General features: G+C 46.5%; 2 protein-coding genes across 2 annotated transcripts in view, besides 1 other annotated feature; both read right to left on the bottom strand.

Annotated features, from left to right (window-relative positions):
- Positions 1 to 19,293, bottom strand: part of STIMATE-MUSTN1 (STIMATE-MUSTN1 readthrough) — a 64,428-nt gene that overhangs the window by 33,426 nt on the left and 11,709 nt on the right. The gene's annotated exons all lie outside the window — the stretch shown is intronic.
- STIMATE (STIM activating enhancer) overlaps positions 1 to 19,293 on the bottom strand; it is a 60,816-nt gene that overhangs the window by 29,814 nt on the left and 11,709 nt on the right. The gene's annotated exons all lie outside the window — the stretch shown is intronic.
- Positions 5,997 to 6,267: a silencer, noted in NCBI's record as "fragment chr3:52906559-52906829 (GRCh37/hg19 assembly coordinates)". NCBI's record gives its function as "represses an EF-1alpha promoter that drives an FKBP-Casp9 reporter gene in an ReSE screen in K562 erythroleukemia cells {active_cell/tissue: K562}" and the evidence as "EXISTENCE:reporter gene assay evidence [ECO:0000049][PMID:32094911]".

Consider the following 19,293-nt stretch of genomic DNA (forward strand, 5'->3'; position numbering starts at 1 on the left):
TAGGACAGCAATTATGGATGACTCAACTCTACCTGTCGACTTCACACAGCACCCAGGTCACCGACTGCTCACTTAACGCTATGTTGTTTGGTTTTCCACACGCCACTCTCACTTGGCATGTGGAGGGCGGGGACCAGGCACCCAGCTCGACTGTCCTCCTCAGAGCCCGATCTGGGCTGGCGCTCCACGTGGACCCACTGACTAGCAGAAGGAAGTTGGAATTTTACACTTGATGTCACAGAGTGGTAGAGTAACAAGTCAAAAAACACAGGCGTTGGAAGGGATATAATTTCCAGGTAGCAGCTGCAGCCCTATTTAGAAACTGAGTCAAAAAGCACAACTGTCTTGAGATTAAACACTCAATTTAAGGGAGGTGCAGCCCAAGAGATGCAGGGATAGGGGGAATGTGGTGGGCTCCTGTCAGGTGCAGGGAAAGGCGTGTGGCTGCATAAAGACAGGGAAGCCGGGGTCTCCCGGCTGCAGCCCTGGCTACCAGGTGGTACAGTCCCTTGCATCCCTCTTACCAGATGGCATTTTTCAGACCAGCAAAACATGGGTGGAAAATCACCCCCTGCTGAGGATACAGAACAGGAAGAGGCTCATGAACCTGGCAGGGCTCTTGGCACAAAGCTGCTCTTTGCCATGAAAATCCACCGAGGCAATTCAGTTAAATATTTGTATTGTTACATCTACAGTGTAACCTTAAAGCAGGAGGATCATCACAGGCCTCCCAGTGGCCATTTTAGCTTATGACTTTCCAAAAGTAGAAATGTAAGATGCTTTGGATCACTCTCCCTCACAGACAGCAGGAAGTCCTGGGACACAAAACCGCTGGTCCTTGTGTGAGACGTTGGACCTCAGTGCATGAGCAGGTTTCCCAACTCTCAGGAATGGGGTGCTCTGGAAGCCATGAGCTCATACGCCATAAGCCTGTATGCTTTCTTGTTCATCCCTGGGGAAAAATACTCCCACCTTCCAATGACCCGGAGGCAGAAACACACCCATAGTTTTGGAGCCCTCTGCCCCATGGCATGTTGCTGAACAGGACCACTCCCTGATGGCCTCATTTCTCAAGCTGTCTCACGGGCCAGTGCCTCCTGCAACACAGGCGAGTGCTGAGGCAGCGGACTCTTCCCCTGGGCAAGTGGCAAGCAGCGCCACCTCCAGCTGAATATCAGCTCATAAACTACGCAGTGTGGCTCCCATTCAGAGCCAGAAGGGTCCTTGAGTGTCCAACCCCCTCCAGGGTAGGGTGTGGAAAATGGTAGGGGAATTGACTTGTCCAGAATCACCCCAGCAGTTAGTAGAGGAGCCGCAAAGAAAGCCAAGTCACCCGGGCCAAGCCTTTCTCTAACCAGCACTGGTCAGGCCAGTGACCTCAAGCCATGCCTGGCTGGTCCTATGGAGCCCAGGCCCCCTCTCCACAATTCTTGACCAGGTCTCCAGTGCTCCAAATGGCAGAAACTGTCCTGAGGGGTGAGCAAATCTATCTGCTGGAGGGAACCAGCAGTCAAGGAAAAACCCAGAAGTGTTTCTGCACCTTCCCTAAGTGATAAACGAACATCCCAACAACCAGGCCCCACTCAAACCTCCTCAATGCCCTGTAGTAGGGCTAAAAACCCAGAGACGCCCAGGGAAAAAGTCCCCAGAAGTCACTGAGGTAGCCTGCTGGCTGCTTCCCAAATCCATTCTCTCATTCTTCCTTGCTAAGAGAAGCCCCTTGGTCAGGCAACTTAAAGACTATATTTCCCAGCCTCCCCTGCTGCTGGTGTGGCCATGTGACTCAGTTCTACCCTAGCAGAACTCTAAATCCAGGTCAGGCCACTTTTTAAGGAGAAATGGAGGTCCAGGTGATTCTTATGGCAGGGAACTAAGGGCAGTCAAGTCAGGAACAGCTTGAAATCTAGTTCCAGCTTTATCCAAAATTTTATGATTTTAAGCCAGTCACTTAACTTTTCAGAGTCTGTTTCTTCAGTTGTCCACTTCATGGGTTCACTGTGGGGAGAAGAGCAGCTGCCGTTATGGCTGTCATGCTGTCACCACCTATTGAGTACTCACGTCAGGAACTTGATTATTTTATTATTTTATTTTTTGAGACAGTGTTTTGCTCTTGTCGCTCAGGCTGGAGTGCAGTGGCGAGATCTCAGCTCACTGAAACCTCCGCCTCCTGGGTTCACGTGATTCTCCTGCCTCAGCCTCCTGAGTAGCTGGGATTACAGGCACGCGCCACCATGCCTGGCTAATTCTGTATTTTTGGTAGACAAGGTTTTACCGTGTTGTCTAGGATGGTCTCGAATTCCTGACCATAAGTGATCCGCCTGCCTTGGCCTCCCAAAGTGCTGAGATTACAGGTGTGAGCCAATGCACCTGGCCACACCTCAGGAACGTTATATCATTGCTTCTAATCTTTCTGACAACCCGGCAAAGTATCATCTCTATTTTACAGATAAGGTCATGGGGTTTGCCATTGCCAAAATGGCACCACCAAGAGTTGCATCTAAGTCTACCTGAATCCAAAGCCCACATTTCCCCTGCCATCTTGAGGGGAATACAAAACTGACTATAATCATCCAGTGAGAAAATCATCCAACTGATCCCTCAAGTTGGGAGAAAAGGCGCTGGTCTGGTGCTCAAAAAACTCCCAGAATCAAGGCCATCCCTTTGCCTTAGCAAGTCCTCCTGACTCCAGTCCTCTCGCCTGAATCCACCCCGACACTGGACCAGAGTGAACTGAGCACGCTGCTCCTGGCCTAAAACCCTCCAGTGCCAGCCCCACATCCCCAACATCAGAGGACATAATACAGGCTTTGTAAGTTGGCAAAAAAGGGCCCTGATGGCCTGGCATCTCCCACCTTAGTGCTGTCACTCATACTGTCCCCTTGGCGTGGGAGGGGCCCTCCATTTCTTCTCTTGGATAGTTCTTAGGCATTCTTCCAGATTGTTCCCACTGCTCTAAGACATCTTGCTTAGCTCCCTGCAATTGAACCAAGTGCCCTCCCTTCTCCTGGGTCCCCAAAGTCTCTTATGCACATCTTTGGACAACACTTCATATGCAATACTAAGCATCTGCCTGTCTCCCACTAGACAATTAGTTAAGGAGGGATACAGAGACCTTATCTTATTCATATTTATACCCTTGGCACCCAGGCCAGTACCTGGAATGAAGTAGGCACTTAACTACTAAACTGAACAAACAGAGCAGAACATACTGGTGTCCCATCACAAGTCAAAGGTGGCAGAGCTTAGTGTTTGCGAGTATGAGCTCTGGGTTCAAAACCTGGCTTTAGAGCCGACTGTGGGACCAGGGAGACTTGCTTAACATCTCTGGGCTTCAACTGGACTCTATAAGATGGAAGAAATTATAGTATACAGCTCACAGGAGTATTAATAAAACAATATACTTAAGAGTATTACAGCCATGCTTTGTACTTGGCAAGCACCATGCACATGCTAGCAAGAAGCAGCAGCTAGAGGAACTGCTGGAGGAAGAGTAAATCTTTAAGCACGAAGTCCACCTGCAGGAAACAAGAAAGCACACATCTGGCTTCAGCCTCCGGAGTAGCTGGGATTACATCATGCCCGGTTAATTTTTGTAGAGACGGGGTTTCACCATGTTGGCCAGGCTGGTCCTGAACTCCTGACCTCAGGTGATCCACCTGCCTTGGCCTCCCAAAGTGCTGGGATTACAGGTGTGGGCCACCACACCTGGCCTCTTTTTTTCTTTTAAATTATAAATCATTGCAGTAAGTTTGGAAACCAGGGAAAGAGAAAAATCATCTAAAATGTCACCATCTGAAAACAACCACGATCACTGGTGGTTGTATCACCACGGTTGTGGTTCCAAATCTGGCCTGCGCTTCCCACGTGGGAACGGACCCAAGAGATATCAAGCTACCCCAGGCTGGTCGGCCTCTGTCAGCCCAAAGGCTGAATGCTGGTGCTGGGAGGTGAGCACACGAGAGTGGCAACAGGGACAACCTGGGCCCACAGGAGAGAAACACGAAGCCATCAAGACTCTCAAGTTCTAGGCCTGCCATCCTCTGCCCAGGGTGAGGGCACTAGTGACTCCACGCGAAGTGAATGCATGGTGTCCTGCTGCGCGGGCAGGGTGGCCCCATGGGAGGCAGAGTGGCAGGTGCTCCTCAGGCTGGTCAAGCGAGTCTTCTTCTCCCGCCTCACCAGCAGCAGGGCAGGCGCCTGGGAGGTGCCCAGGAAACACGGCAGGATTGACAGGGAGCAGGACTCAGGACACCTCATGCTTTTAGCTGATGATGGGAGACCACCTCAGCAGAGTGCTGAGGTCAGGGGTCACTAAGGTGCTCCAAGTAATTGTGTCCCCTCTCACTGGAAGGTCTGGGGGAAGGCGGGTGGTGCCTGAGGAGCCTCCAGCACCTTCTCGACACTCCCACAACCACTCCCAAGGCTTCCCACTCAGGACCTGAGTGCCGCAGGTCCTGAATCTTGCCCAATTCCCCAGCAACCTTCACACTTGCCTACCCCACATCCTGCTCCCTTCATCGTTGCATTAGGAGGCAATTCAATCAAGTACCGCCACCTCCTGTCATATGGGATAGTGACTCGTGATAGTTTCATATGCTCAAAACCAAGATATTTTCATGCTGGAATTTCAGGTACCAAACAAAGGGTGACAGAAAAGCTATCTCTGAAGGGGGACCTTTTTAAACAACCCTCAAGGATCACACCATGTGGACGAACATCCACAGGCCTGTCCCGTCAAGAAGGCCACAGGACTCACACCCTGGGCAGAGAGGATGCTGGGGGCTCGGTGCAGCGGGGGAGCAGAACCCAGGCCGGACTGCTCACGACAGTCAGCAAGCACCTCATCTGTGTGGGAGCACCTGCGGCAGAACCCTGGCATCTCCCATCTTAGTGGGAGTTAGCCAGCACACGACCCTGGATTCCAAACCCACTCCTCCTGCCCCACCATCTAGCCTCCCCCTGTGGCAGGGACAGCTTCCAATGCCACCTTCTGTCACTCTTTTCCACAAAAGAGGCTCAGAGCAGAAGCCTCAGAGCCTCACTATGTTTCATTAAATAAGATGGGATTATTATTCACTCACTCACTCACTCATTCATTCATCCATCCACCAACCCATCCACCCATCCTCCACACAGCTGTCAGTGGGGTCTTTGTAAAGTATAAATAAAATTATGTCACCCTCCACTCAAAACTTCCATGACACAAATCTGTCAAAAGTCCAACTTCACATTTAAGATCTGTGCAATTTACTTCATGTAAACAATACCTCCATAAAATTGAAACACACAAACACAACCCCCCCATGCCTTTCCACGGCAGATAGAAGAAACGGCAGGCTCCTTCTCTGGCCAACGTCCCATGTGACTTAGGCTCCACATATTCACATGGGGCTTCTCTTGATGCGGCACCCACAAGTTCCACCCTGCCCCTGCCCCTCTGGCTCATGCGGCACCTTCCGTCTGGAACACTCTTCTCCCGGGTCACCAAGTGGCTGGCTTCTTTTTGTTCCTGTCTCAGCGCTCAGGAAGCCTCCTCTGACTGCCTCAACCACGGGTGTGCTTGTCCCACCTTGTCCCATCCCTCAGTCTCATTTCCCTGCTTGGTTTTCTTCATAGCATTAATCTCAGAAATTCTTACATTTTCTTACTACTGTCTTCTCCCTACTAGAAAGTAAGCTCTGTAAGACCAGGACCTTCTGCTCTGTTTACCTCTGTATTCCTAGCACTTAGAGGGAGCCTGGCTCCAAACAGGTAGCTAAACAGTATTTGTTGAACAAAGGAATTCATTCAGTCTGTCACTTTTAAGCCATATTTACTGAGTCCTGTCCAGGTGTTTACTGTCAATTCAACAAGTTTCATGAATTTCTGTGATGGGTTCTCCCAGAAGCAGTTTGCAAGTTATTAGTCCTACAACAGGAAGGACTAAACTGCTTTGGTTATGGATGATGTAAGCTGTACGCAAGACTGTCAGAGGCCAACTACTCCAAAACTTTCTTCCTCGTAAATAACTGGAAGTCAGGATGAACTGGCTCGGCAAAGACTCCCTCACCATATCTGACCTGATTTTTAATTATCTATTTTTTTAATTTTATTTTTTGAGACGGAGTCTCGCTCTGTCGCCCAGGCTGGAGTGCAATGGCACAATCTCGGCTCATTGCAACCTCCGCCTCCCGGGTTCAAGTGATTCTCCTACCTCAGCCTCCTGAGTAGCTGGGATTACAGGCATGCACCACCACACCCAGCTAATTTTTGTATTTTTAGTAGAGATGGGGTTTCACCATGTTGGCCAGGCTGGTCTCAAACTCCTGACCTCCAGTGATCCACCCACCTTGGCCTCCCAAAGTGTTGGGACTACAGGTGTGAGCCACCACGCCCGGCAACCATATCTGACCTTAAAAACAAGAAGCTGATAATCTGGTCTAAGTGCTCATGAACATTTTTTGGTAAAGACTTAATTTCTTCTGAACCAGATGAAGCCCAGGTTCTAAGTTTAGCCAGCTTTAATCCTGCTCCATGGAGGTTTGGCCGAAGGCTGAGAAATAAATAACAAAAACAAAAAGCAACAACCTCCCCCCACCACCCTAAATTGTCTAGCAAATAAATATGCTAAATTCTCTGAACACAGGCCTCCTTGAAACCACTGCTTCCCCCAGGAGCAGGGCTGTGGTGTCATCTGCTAAGATAATGATGGCAGTAGGAGCGAGGGGGCATTATCACTGTATGTGTGTTCCATGGGGGATTCTGTTTGATGGAAAGAAATACAAATTGCTGATAAACACATATGCAACCTTAATAACAGCAATTTTGAAGATGCAAATTAGTATTGATTTTTGCCCAGATTAGCAAAGGTTAAAACATTTGGTGAGGATATTAGGAAACAGGTACTCTTAAAACACTGGTAGAAAAGCGAGTTGTACAACCACTTGGTAAGTGTGGGGAAGTGGATTTGCAATTCTCGGCTCCAGAACCACCCAGGTTAAAGAAGTCATTAAACTGGTACCAAGGGTAGCCTCAGTGAACTAACTGAGCCTTCTGGGAACCAGACACTAGAGGCAGAGATATCAGAGTTGCTGCTCCAAGAGCCCTAGGGGTGGGGTGGGAGGTGCAGGGATGAGGCTTCCAGGATGCAGAATTTGACCTAAGAGCCAAGAGGCGCTGGGGACCTGTAAGTACTTGCTAATGAGGGCTTGTTAGTGTACGTTCTTCCTGAATACTGATGGAAGCCCCAAGAATAATGGGGCTGTCCTGGAAGGACCCTACCCTGTGAGCCAGTATCCTGGGCAGCTGGGGAACTCACAGAGAAATGCTGCATCTGCTCCTGCCATGCATCACCACTACACTGCTAACTCCAATTCCCTGGACAAATAAATTCAGGAATTTCATTCAATCTCATAGCGGGCAACGATATGTGTGTGTGTGTTTTCCACCAGTCCACAAAACACATGAAAAGTTGCGTCAGGTTATTTTGGCATATCTATCACGATTTTAAATGTTTATAAACTGTGACTCAGCTTTTCCTCTATAGTTACACCTCCACAAATGCCCACAAGTCTGTGTAGAAGAGCACTCACTGCAGCATTGTCTTTAAGAGTGGAAGATTTAGAAACCAGCTAAATGTCCATCGATAGGGAAGGGGTTGATCATATGTGATTATGCAATGGATGTCAACTGTGAAGTATACTTACAATGCGTGAGTTTTATGGTACATAAATTATACCTCAATAAAACTATTTAAAAAGTGAGGTAGATCTATCTGCATTGAAATGGAAAAAACCCTCATGCTAAATGGGGGGAAAAAAGCAAATCATTAAAACGGTCAATGTGTAATGTGAACCTATTTTTATACATCAACAAAAGATACACACACACACAGAAATTCAGAGGCATATACAATAAACTATTAACCATGGTTAGCTCTCTAGAGGATGGACTTACAGTGAACTGAACTTTCACTTTCTATGCTATGTCTTTTCATAATGTTTTAGTTGCTTACAGTGAGAATGTATTACTTTTGTAGTAACAACAAAAAAGAGGCTGGTCATGGTAGCTCACACCTGTAATCTCAGCACTTTGGGAGGCTGAGCCGGGCGGATCACTTGAGGTCAGGAGTTTGAGACCAGCCTGGCCAACATGGGGAAACCCAGTCTCTACTGAAAATAAAAAAATTAGCTGGGCGTGGTGGCTACTCGTGAGGCTGAGACACCAGAATCGCTTGAACCTGGGAGGTGGAGGTTGCAGTGAGCCAAAATCTTGCCACTGCACTCCAGCCTGGGCGACAGAGGGAGATTCTGTCTCAAAAAATAATAATAGATAAATAAAATAAAGGTCTCTGCTGCTAAAAACAATAAATTAAAAATGACTAAATTACAATTTTGCACATTAGATAATTAAAAACCTTCCTCAAACCCAACTCATTTAGAAAATCTCCTTCTAAGAGAAAAGCTTCCAGCAGGCAGAACTCACGAGAGACGGAAAATGCGCCACTTTAGTCTGCAACTGAACCCACATCAAGGAGGTCTAGGATCACTGCTGCGCTGTTATCTATGGTAGATGGGAGGTCCCTGTGCTCCTGTATGCTAACAGGCATAAGCTGGAATAAAATGTTCATTGTGTATGTTTCTACTTTTTTGTATTCCCCAGTTTCACTACCTCTTAAAAATTAACAAATAGTTCTAATTTGTGTTGGATAAGAGGACCTTGACTATAAAAAGTTTTCTTTACCCAAAGAACTGACCTTCACTGCAACCTTGTGGTTAGTCAAATTCTTAGAAGAAGGCATGGCCGTGGAGTCTGCATTTCTCAGAGGTAACACGTGTAGCCCCTGGCCAGCCCCACCACAGAAGCTCATCCTCAGCTCAAGCAGCACAGACATTAATCTCTCTGCCTCCTAGTCAGAGGAGACACCTGCTGGCCCCCTCACACAGTGGCCCCATCACACAGCAAATCGCAGGTTAGATTTCTGTCCCCGTAACCCAAGGCTCCCACACCATTCTAGCTGCTTAGAGTGGTCCCAACTTGGCAGAGAACAGAATGAATAACGGGTATGGAGAGGGGTACTTTTGATGTTGTTTTCACTCTTTGAATCTGGAAGGAAAGGGTGGGAGTCTTGAGGTCCACCTGTCAAGAGTTAAGTCCAGAAGCCAAAGGACATCAAAGTTGCCAATTCACTTAACTGGGTCACTCAACTTACTAGGATAAACCCCCAGTGCAGTAGGTTTCATTCATAAAGATGATTACACCTGCCCTCTTGACATCTGTAGGTCAAATACTTTAAATGCCATTCCCCAGCAGGGGTGGAGGGGCCACTCAGCCGGCCCCCTCCCTCATCCAGAAGCCCTTGTGAGCACTGAGAGGTACCCATGAGCAGCCAGCTCACCTGGAGAAGCAGTGTGAGGGTGGCTGGCAAGGACAGGCTCACCTGACATGATCCCCAACAGCACCCTGCTTTACCATCAAAGACAGCCTCCTCTACTCCCTAAAGCCAGTATGCATTCAACTGAGTTCCCATGAGGAGATCTGAGAAAGTCTCATCACATAAGGTGTTATCAACATCAGCAATACTGGTGGCCCTAGACACTTAAGCTAAATTAATTCCATCATTCCTCACTCAACCCTAGGAAGTGGATAGAATCATCCTAATTTTCAGATGGCAAAACTGATGCTCAGAGCAGTTAAGGAACTTGCTGAAGTCCAACAGGCAGCAAGCACTAGGGTCAGGACCAGAACCCAGGCCACTGCTGACCCTCACCTACCACTGAACAGCAAGGCACCAGCATCAGGACTGATGGAGCCTGGTCCCTTGATACAAAACGCAAAGCTTATCAAACTTGGGCCTTTATGTGCAACCCAGACAGCATTATCGAAAAACAAGAATGGCTTCTAAAAGAGAATTAGCTTAGAACACTTAAATCTACAGTTGGCCCTTGAAGAACATGAGTTTGAACTGCATGGGTCCACTTATACACGGATTTTCTCCCATCTCTGCCACCCGACACGGCAAGACCAACCCTGAATCCTCCTCCTCCTCGGCTTTCAATTTGAAGATCAAGAGGATGAAAACCATTACGAACACAAGTTTTCATGATAATCCACTTCCATTTAATGAATAGCAGATACATTTTCTCTTCCTTATGATTTTTCTTACTAACATTTCTTAATAACATTTTTTCTCATTTTATTGTAAGAATACCATATATAATACATATATAAAATATGTGTTAATTGGCTGTTTATGTTATTGGGTCAGGCTTCTAGTCAACACTAGGCTATTAGCAGTTAAGTTTTTGGGGAGTCAGAAGTTATATGCGGGTTTTCAACTGTGTGGAGTGTTGACTGCTCTAACCCCCACGCTGTTCAAGGATCAACTGTGGGTGGAAAAACAATTCAAGAATGTTATTCTACACTGAAGGTAGGTGGCTAGTGTCTACATTTATAATATATACATAGTCCAAAATTTCAAGGCTTGTGATAAAAAGTCAACTCAAGTCTTAATGCAGGTTAAAACTGAGAATGGCCATTGAAGTTCACTGGCACAGGCCACACTGGCTGAGTCCATAACAGGTCTCCTCTGACACACCCTGCCTGTGGCTGCTTCTGCCATCACTCTTTAACACAGCTCACGCTTTTGGGCAACCCAGTGCCTGCCTCTGCCAGACCAGCCTGAAGCTGGGAGAGGGAAGGAAGAAAGCCCATGTTTACCAAGAGTGTGCAACATCCCTCCACCTTCACATGCCTCAGCCACCTGCCACTGGCTGCGGCTCCAGGCTTGTGCTCTTGGGCTGTCATGACCAAGTGGCACAATGTTAGGAAGGTCAGTTCGTAGGTGGGAAGAGTTCCCTTTCTCATGCCATAGTCTAGAACAAACTCCCTGGACAAACCAATGAGCATAAGTAAATGTGTGCCATGGCAGGGGGCACAGAAACAGCAGTAAGAGTAGGCATTGGAGGGGAAAGGGCAGAGGCCTAGGACAGAGGAATTCTGGGTTCTAGTCCTGGCTCAGCCTCTGACCTGCTGGAAAGTCTCCGGTGAGCCATTCAATCCCTCCAGTTCGACCTGTACATGAAGTCTTGGATTAAGCTGTATTTTCCCAATTCTAATAACTGATGACATGGTGTGAACTGTCCTACCTCCCCAGGGTTGTGTGACGTGGCGGCCAGTCAGCCATGGTGGGCCTCAGTGAGCTAACACTCAGCACCCACCCTGCACCCGGCAGTGCCAAGCACTGTATCTCACTTAATTCTCATAACCCATTAAGATAGGTAATCACTGGCCGGGTGTGGTGGCTCACGCCTGTAATCCCAGCACTTTGAGAGGCTAAGGCGGGCAGATCACGAGGTCAGGAGATCGAGACCATCCTGGGTAACACAGTGAAACCCTGTCTCTACTAAAAATACAAAAAATTAGCCAGTGTGGTGGCACATGCCTGTAGTCCCAGCTACTCGGGAGGCAGAGGCAGGAGAATAGCATGAACCCGGGAGGTGGAGCTTGCAGTGAGCTGAGATCGCGCCACTGCACTCCAGCCTGGGCGACAGAGCAAGACTCCGTCTTAAAAAAAAAAAAAAAAAAAGACAGGTAATCACCTCCCCTATCTTGAGAAGAAGAAACAGTCTCAGACAGATAAAGTCAGACAGCACTGGAAAAACTACCATAATGTGGCCTGGTGGTCATGAGAGGCAAGGGACCAAATTTACGCAGTCTGATGCTAGACACCACGCATGTGACCAACAGGCTGTACCATCTCTGTTCCCTGGTCTAGGAACCCTATGGTCCAGGCTATACCACCTCATGCCCTGGTCTAGAAGTCTGATGGTCCTGGCTGTACCACCTCTGCTCCCGGGCCTAGGAACCCTATGGTCCAGGCTGTATCACCTCTTTGCCTGGTTTAGGAATCCTATGGTCCTGGCTGTATCACCTCATTCCCTGGTCTAGGAACCCTGTGGTCCCGGCTGTACCACCTCTGCTCCCTGGTCTAGGAACCCTATGGTCCTGGATGTATTAGTTTTGTTTCCTTGTGTAGAAACCCTACATTCCTGGCTACACTATCTCTGTTCCCTGGTCCCTTTGGATGACAAAGACTTTTCTCCCTGATTGTCTCGTGAGCCTACCTAAATGCATTTTTATTCTGATAGCATCGAACAGAAACATCTCCACTGGTTTTCCAAGGGCACACACCTACAACCAAGAGAAGCTGGCTGGTTATGAAGCTACATAAAGAAGTCAAGGACAAGTCCAAGTTCAGAGGACCAGCTCCCCAGGGTTCCAGAAGGCCATATCTAACCTTCTCAACAGATAAGAGCCGATAGGACACTGCCTTCAGGAGTGGGTGGGACTGCCAATAGCATGGCAGATGAGCAGTCTACTGAGAGGCTCCAACGGCAGTGCAAGTGCACGGATGTTGCGATAGCATCCACTGACTTTGTGAGGGTGTTACACCTTTACTCAAGCAAAAAAACTCTTCTTCTGGGAACACTGGGCTTTACCTTAGAATTTTATTGATGGAAGAGAATTAATAAGCATGCTAGGCAGAACAATTAAAGGAAGACCAGTTCTTCTCATGATACTAGAATTATTAAATTACACATAAGACCTTTGCCCTAGCTCCTCAGCCCAATGAAGTTGGCACCCAGAGTCTTCTCCTTTCAAACCATACAAGTTGTGTAACTAGGCAGATCTGAGAAGAGAAACAACAGAGCTCATGTCCTCAGTCCCCAGGCCTACGAGTCAGGTGGCCAGAGACAGGGCAGCAGACAGCAGCCAAGGCAGCCTTTGACCACCAGGAGGCTTGGGACCTTAACAAATCATCACCCGCTATGAGCTAAAATACCTGTAGCCCTACTTGGCCGGCAGTGGGAATCCCTTCCAGAGTAGTCTGATGGATACTTCAGGAGCCTTGAGGTTCTTCTCACAGCTACTGACGCCTCTCCTCCACTTAGGAAGAACAGGAGGACCAGGAGGGAAGAACAAGTGATACACGAGAAGCATGTACACCAGTACAGGGGGATATACAATGTAAATAAACCAAGACTCTGAGAACTGGGAACACCGGCTGCGTGAGGAAAGGGAGAGTCTCAGTCAGAATAGGATTCCTCAACTCCCAATGCTCACTTTGTTCATCTCTCTACTTAGATCTCTCAAATTTTCCTTCCACAAAGGAGCTGGAAAAACCACCATCACATGGCATGGAAGTCATAAAAGGCACCATGAAATTAAGTTTTTCTGCCCCTCTTGTCCTATCATGCAGAGTGCATGGTAAGCACCCCAAGGCATGAGGCTGGCAGAGAGCTTGCTTAAAGAACACGTGGAAAAGGAGCTCTGCCTCCTAGCCAGCCTCCTTCCCTGAGGGCTCTGAACCCTAGCTACATGAAGTGAGGGGAAGCCACCAGAGCCTCTGGAATTCTGGAGACGGGCTTGCTGGGTGATGTTTCTGGGGTTGTATCACAATGATGTCTTCTTTGATTCCTGCCTTCCTAAAATTCTAGAAAGAACATAAATCAACCCCAGAGAATCAGCATGCTCTGGCCCTGCTATTTCTCATTTGAAACAGGTTTGCTATGCCAGCTCCCACTCAGAAAGGCCAAGCATAGTTCATGAGATCCTAGATAAAAGGAGGCTTAGGGCCCGGGTGGGGCCCTCCAACCTGTCCTCAGACTCTCCAACCAGGCAACGGTGTGCATCAAGAGAGTCCCAATCAGCACGCATCCTTCTGACGTGCTCTTCACCAAGCCACCTGCAGGAGACTTAGCTTCGCACACCTGATGCTATACAAGAGGGACCAGATGTGGGTGGGGCAAGCACAGAACCAGAGAAAGCAGAGTTAAAACACTGTCAAGAGTGGACCAAACAACAAATATGTACAATTATTACATATTCATTATAAGTAAAAAGAAAAAAAGACCAAATCATCTGCTATAAGAACCAGGAGAGTGGTGACTGAGTCTCAGCACATTCTAGGGACAGGAGAAAAGCAGGTGGCTGGGGAAAAACCCAGTGGGAGTGCTCACAGCAGAGAACGAAGACTCAGCCAAGCTCCATTCGCACTTCCTTTCCCGTAGCATTGGAGACAGAGCTCCTGGGGCTGCTGGTACCTTTGAAAGGGCTCATAGGAAAAGGGAGATCCATCAACTGCCTCCTTACAAAGGAGGTACTGAAACAAAGCCACACAACTGAGAAGACCAAAAATGTGTAGAAAGTCACTATGCATGGAATGAGCTGGCTGTTTCAATATTAGCTTCTGTTTGACTCCCACATGCAATTCAAAGGCTCACTATATAACAAAAATAGTCTGAAATTCATCTTTGTTCACCAATCCATTGTGGACTATAGAAACTCAGATTTCCTACCAGTTAAAATGTAAGCAGTAAAGCCAGGTGCGGTGGCTCATGCCTGTAATCCCAGCACTTTGGGAGGCCAAGGCAGGTGGATCACTTGAGGTCAGGAGTTTGAGACCAGCCTGACCAACATGGTGAAACCCTGTCTGTACTAAAAATACAAAATTAGCCAGATGTGGTGGGCATGCCTGTAATCCCAGCTACTCGGGAGGCTGAGGCAGGAGAATCACTTGAACCCAGGAGGCAGAGATTGCAGTGAGCCAAAGGTTGCAGTGAGCCGAGATGGTGCCACCGTACTCCAGCCTGGGCAAGAAGAGAGAAACTCTTGTCTCAAAAAAAAAAAAAAAATGTAAACGGTGACAATCAGGTAGGCTTGCTAAGGGTAAGGCACATATGCAATTAAACATAATAGAAAATGTGGAAAAAAAAAGAATATGACAAACCGCCTCTCTGAAATCCTTAAGACTGAAAAAGTAGCTAACTCCTACTCTGGATGACAGGTTTGCTGGTATCTGAGCCTGTTTAAACTATCTTCAAGAACTCAGGAGGGCTGGGCGCGGTGGCTTGACGCCTGTAATCCCAGCACTTTCGGAGGCCAAGGCGGGCGGATCATGAGGTCAGGAGATCGAGACCATCCTGGCTAACAAGGTGAAACCCCGTCTCTACTAAAAATACAGAAATTAGCTGGGCGTGGTGGTGGGTGCCTGTATCCCAGCTACTTGGGAGGCTGAGGCAGGAGAATGGCGTGAACCCAGGAGGCAGAGCTTGCAGTGAGCTGAGATTGCACCACTGCACTCCAGCCCGGGCGACAGAGTGAGACTCCGTCTCTAAATAAATAAATAAGAAAGAACTCAGGAGGAATAGCAATGCTACAAACCACTCTGGGATTCCGACAGCCCTGCTCACTGATGAAATCCAATTGATAAGCCCAATAGATAAATATACCTGAATCAGTCTTTGCTCACTTTGCATACAAGCCTAGAATAGTTACTTGTTCAAGTGGTCTACCTTCCTAAGCAGGCTATGGACTCTTAGAGAACAGGAATCAAGTTTCCTAACTTCTCTCACAGCTTTGCTATGTTAGTTTTGTACCACTGTGTCACAAATTACTACAAAACTTAATGGCCTAAAGAAGTAAACATTTACTATTGGCTGCGTAGTTCTGGCTCATGTTCTCTTGTAAGGCTGCAGCCAATCTGTCAGCCAGGGCTGCATCACCGGAAGTCTTGACTGGGGCTGGAGGATGTGCTTCTCAGAAGGCTCACACAGGGCTGGGGGCTGGGGTCCTTAGCTCCTCACCACGTGGGTCTCTTCACAGGACTGCCTGAAAGTCCTCAAGACATGACGGCTGGCTCTCCCCAGAGCAAGGGACCCAGCAGGGAGGAAGCAAGCAAGTACCCTTAAGATGGAAGCTGCAGTCTTCATAATAACCTGATCTCGGAAGCCATGTGGCTTCACTTCTAGCACATTCTACTGGTCTCGTAAACTAACCTTGAGGAAAGGGACTATACAAGGGTGTGAACATCATGAGTGGGGATGGCTGGGGTCCATCATGGAGGTGACCTGCCACATTTGTCATTCTAAGTTCTCAGGACGTTTTTACTGGATGTGGCATGGATGCATCTTTCAAGGGGGAACTTGAAGCTGCTGCTTTGCTTTCAAATTCAGTCTTGGCTGACACGCTCATGCTCTCTGTTGACCTACTTGGCTAACAGCTCTTCAAGGTAGGAAAAAAGAACAAGGCACTAGAAGTAGTCACCACAGTGTTTCTGTCCACCCCGAAAGGAAATTTCCTTTCCCCTATTCTACTTCAACAACCAAAAAAGGTATTTGAAGCTAAATTTGGTTTCTCATTCCCCCAAACAAGGGGTATCCTATCGGTGCAATGAGGAGTCTGCTAACAAGGGCAGTTTGGACAAAAATGATGCCACGGAGGGGTATGAAGAAGGGCTTAGGACCTGGCAATTAAGAGTCGGCCACAGCAGTGCATGGGAGGATGGAGAAAGGCATCATAAACAGGGGACGCCGAGAGCACTTGATTTCCCAGCATGGCTTCTAGGAGCCTAAAACCACATCCCTGCACTGCTTCTCACTGTAGCGGTGGCAAGTAGTTTTTAACTAAAGAAAGCAACTCAATTTCTTCCAAACGTCTGTAACTTGTTACTATCACACTTAACTCATGACATGGTAACTAAAGATGTCAAAACTTACAAAGGGGCCAAGGAGCTGAGTTGGAATGGTCATTACCAGGTTTGGAGCCACCTACTTTGAGGAAGGATCAAAGCGCTTTCATCCAGTTTTTAAATCTGCTTTCATTTATAAAAGGTATTTCTCACCGGCTATAGAATCCTAGATTGACAGGCTTTTACTTTCAGGACTTTAAAGATGTTGTTCCATTGTCTTCAGGCTTGAATAGCTTGACAAAAAATCCAAATTAGTTCTTATGTTGATTTCTCTGTATATAATGTCTTCTTTTCCTCTGATTGCTTTTACAATTTTCTTTTTATCATCTGTTTTGCAACAGTCTGATTATGATATGGATTAGTGTGATTTTCTTTGTGTTTATCTTGCCTGGGGTTCATCAAGCTTCTTAGATCTATGAGTTTATAATTTTCATCAACTTTGGAAAATGTTCAGTCATTATTTCTTCTAACATTTTTCTGCCTTTTCCTCCCCTGCCTCTAGGAAATCCAATTACACGTTAGACCTTTGATATTTTCCCATGGGTCACTAAGGCTCTGTTCTTTTGTTTTGTTTTTTAAGACTTTCTTCTTTCTGCACTTTAATTTATAAAGCTCTGTTGCTATGTTTTCACGTATGCTATTCTTTCATAGTTTAATTTTTGGTTTATAAGTTCATGAATTTTTCAGAAATTGTATTTTCAGTTCTAGAAGTTCCATTTGCTTTGCTTTTCTATTTTCCATTGTGCTTATTATTTTTCTTTAAAACTTTAGCATATTTATAACTGTTTTTCAATCCTTTCTTGGTGATTCTAAAATCTCTGTAATTTCTTGGTCTATTAATATTAGCTGATTCTTCTTCTGACTGTAGGCCACAATTTCCTGCTTCTTTACCTAACCTGTCTAGAAATTGTTGATTGGGGCTATACATCATGATTGTTAGTTACATTGTTAAGTGTTTAAATTTTGTCTGCCTTTAGTGAGCACTTATTTGGGCAAGCAGTGAACTCTGTAGAGCAGCTTGATCATTTCAAGGCTTTTTTCCCCTTTCTCTTCTAAAACAATTCTGAGGTAAAACTTACATAACAAAAATGCACTTATATTATGCATACAGTTCAGTGAGTTTTGGGAAATGTGTATGCTGATGTAACCCTACTACAATCAAGATACAGTAATTTCCATCACCCAAAAAGTTTTTTTTTTTTTTTTTGAGACAGAGTCTCACTCTGTCGCCCATGCTGGAGGGCAGTGGCAAAATCTTGGTTCACTGCAACCTCCGCTTCCCGGGTTCAAGCGATTCTCCTGCCTCAGCCTCCCGAGTACCTGGGACAACAGGCGCCCGCCACCACGCCCGGCTAATTTTTATACTTTTAGTAGGGACAGGGTTTCACCATGTTGGCCAGGCTGGTCTCAAACTTCTGACCTCAAGTGATCCACCCGCCACGGCCTCCCAAAGTGCTGGGATTACAGGCGTGACCTACCGCGCCCGCCCAAAAAGTCCTTTTGCAGTCAGTCCCATTCCTACTACCTCAAGGAAACCACTAATCTGCTTTCTGTCACTATAGATTAGAATTCCCTTTTCTAGAATTTCATATAAATGGAGTCATTCAGTATGTATTCCTTTTATCTGGCTTCTTTTGCTCAGCATACTCAACCATGAGATTCAATCATGTTGTTGCATGTATCAATAGTTTGTTCCTTTTAGCTGCTGACATTTATTCCACTATGTGGACATACTACAATTTGTTTATCCATTCATGTGTTGTTGAACATTTGAACTGTTCCTAGTTTGGGGCAATTACAAATGAAGGTGCTATAAATATTCATGCACACGTCCTTCTATGGCCATGTGTTTTCTGTTCTCTTGGGTAAATCTCGAGGGGTGAAACTGCTGAGTTGTATGGTACATTTCATTTTCTTTATAAGAAACTTTCAAACAATTTTCCAAAGTGGTTGTACCATTTTGCATTTTTACCAGCAATGCATAGGAGTTCCAGAGTTCATATTCTCTTCTAATCTTGGTATTGTTCATCAATTTTAATTTTAGCCATTCTTGTCTTGTGGGTATATATTGGTATCTCATCACTATTTTAATTTGCATTTTCCTGATGAGTAATGATATTGAGCATCTTTTCATGTGCTCATTGGCCATTTGTATATCTTTTCTGGAGAAATGTCTTCAGATCCTTTGCCAATTTTTAAATTGCATTTTTTTTTCTGAGTTCTAAGAATTCTTTACATATTCTGGTTATAAATACCTGGTCAGATAGTCATATTTGCAAGTATTTTCTCCCAGTCTGTGACCTATTTCCACTTAATTTTTGTATATGGCTTCAAGGCTTGTTTTTAAACTTTGTACTCTTTTCTCTAGAGCTAGTTGAAACCTAATATTAAGGCATGATGACTCTTTTGAGGGGTCTATGGATGTCCCAGGTGTTCAACAACGTCTCTCTGCTCTATCTGGAAAGAACTCAAATGTCTCTCCGTCCTGGACGTAGTTCCACTTACAGTTCTCCAGCAGCGGTTCTTCAATTTGCTTCTTGAGTTTCACCCTACACAAGAGATCTGTTCATAAAAAGTCTCGAGGAGACCCCTAAGCTAAGGTGGAGAGCTTTCCTTCTGCATAGCTCTTTTTCCTCTGTACTGTCCCCTGCAAATTCCAACTGCATTGGCCTCCTCAGATGTGTCTTCTCAATGCAGCGAGACTGCTGGGCTTCGCTTGGGTTCCTCCTTGCTGCTCTGAGATCTGGAAAGTGCCTCCAGCAGAATGTTGGTGGGAAGACCAC

This window comes from Homo sapiens, chromosome 3, assembly GCF_000001405.40.
Source record: "Homo sapiens chromosome 3, GRCh38.p14 Primary Assembly".
Lineage (NCBI taxonomy): Eukaryota > Metazoa > Chordata > Mammalia > Primates > Hominidae > Homo > Homo sapiens.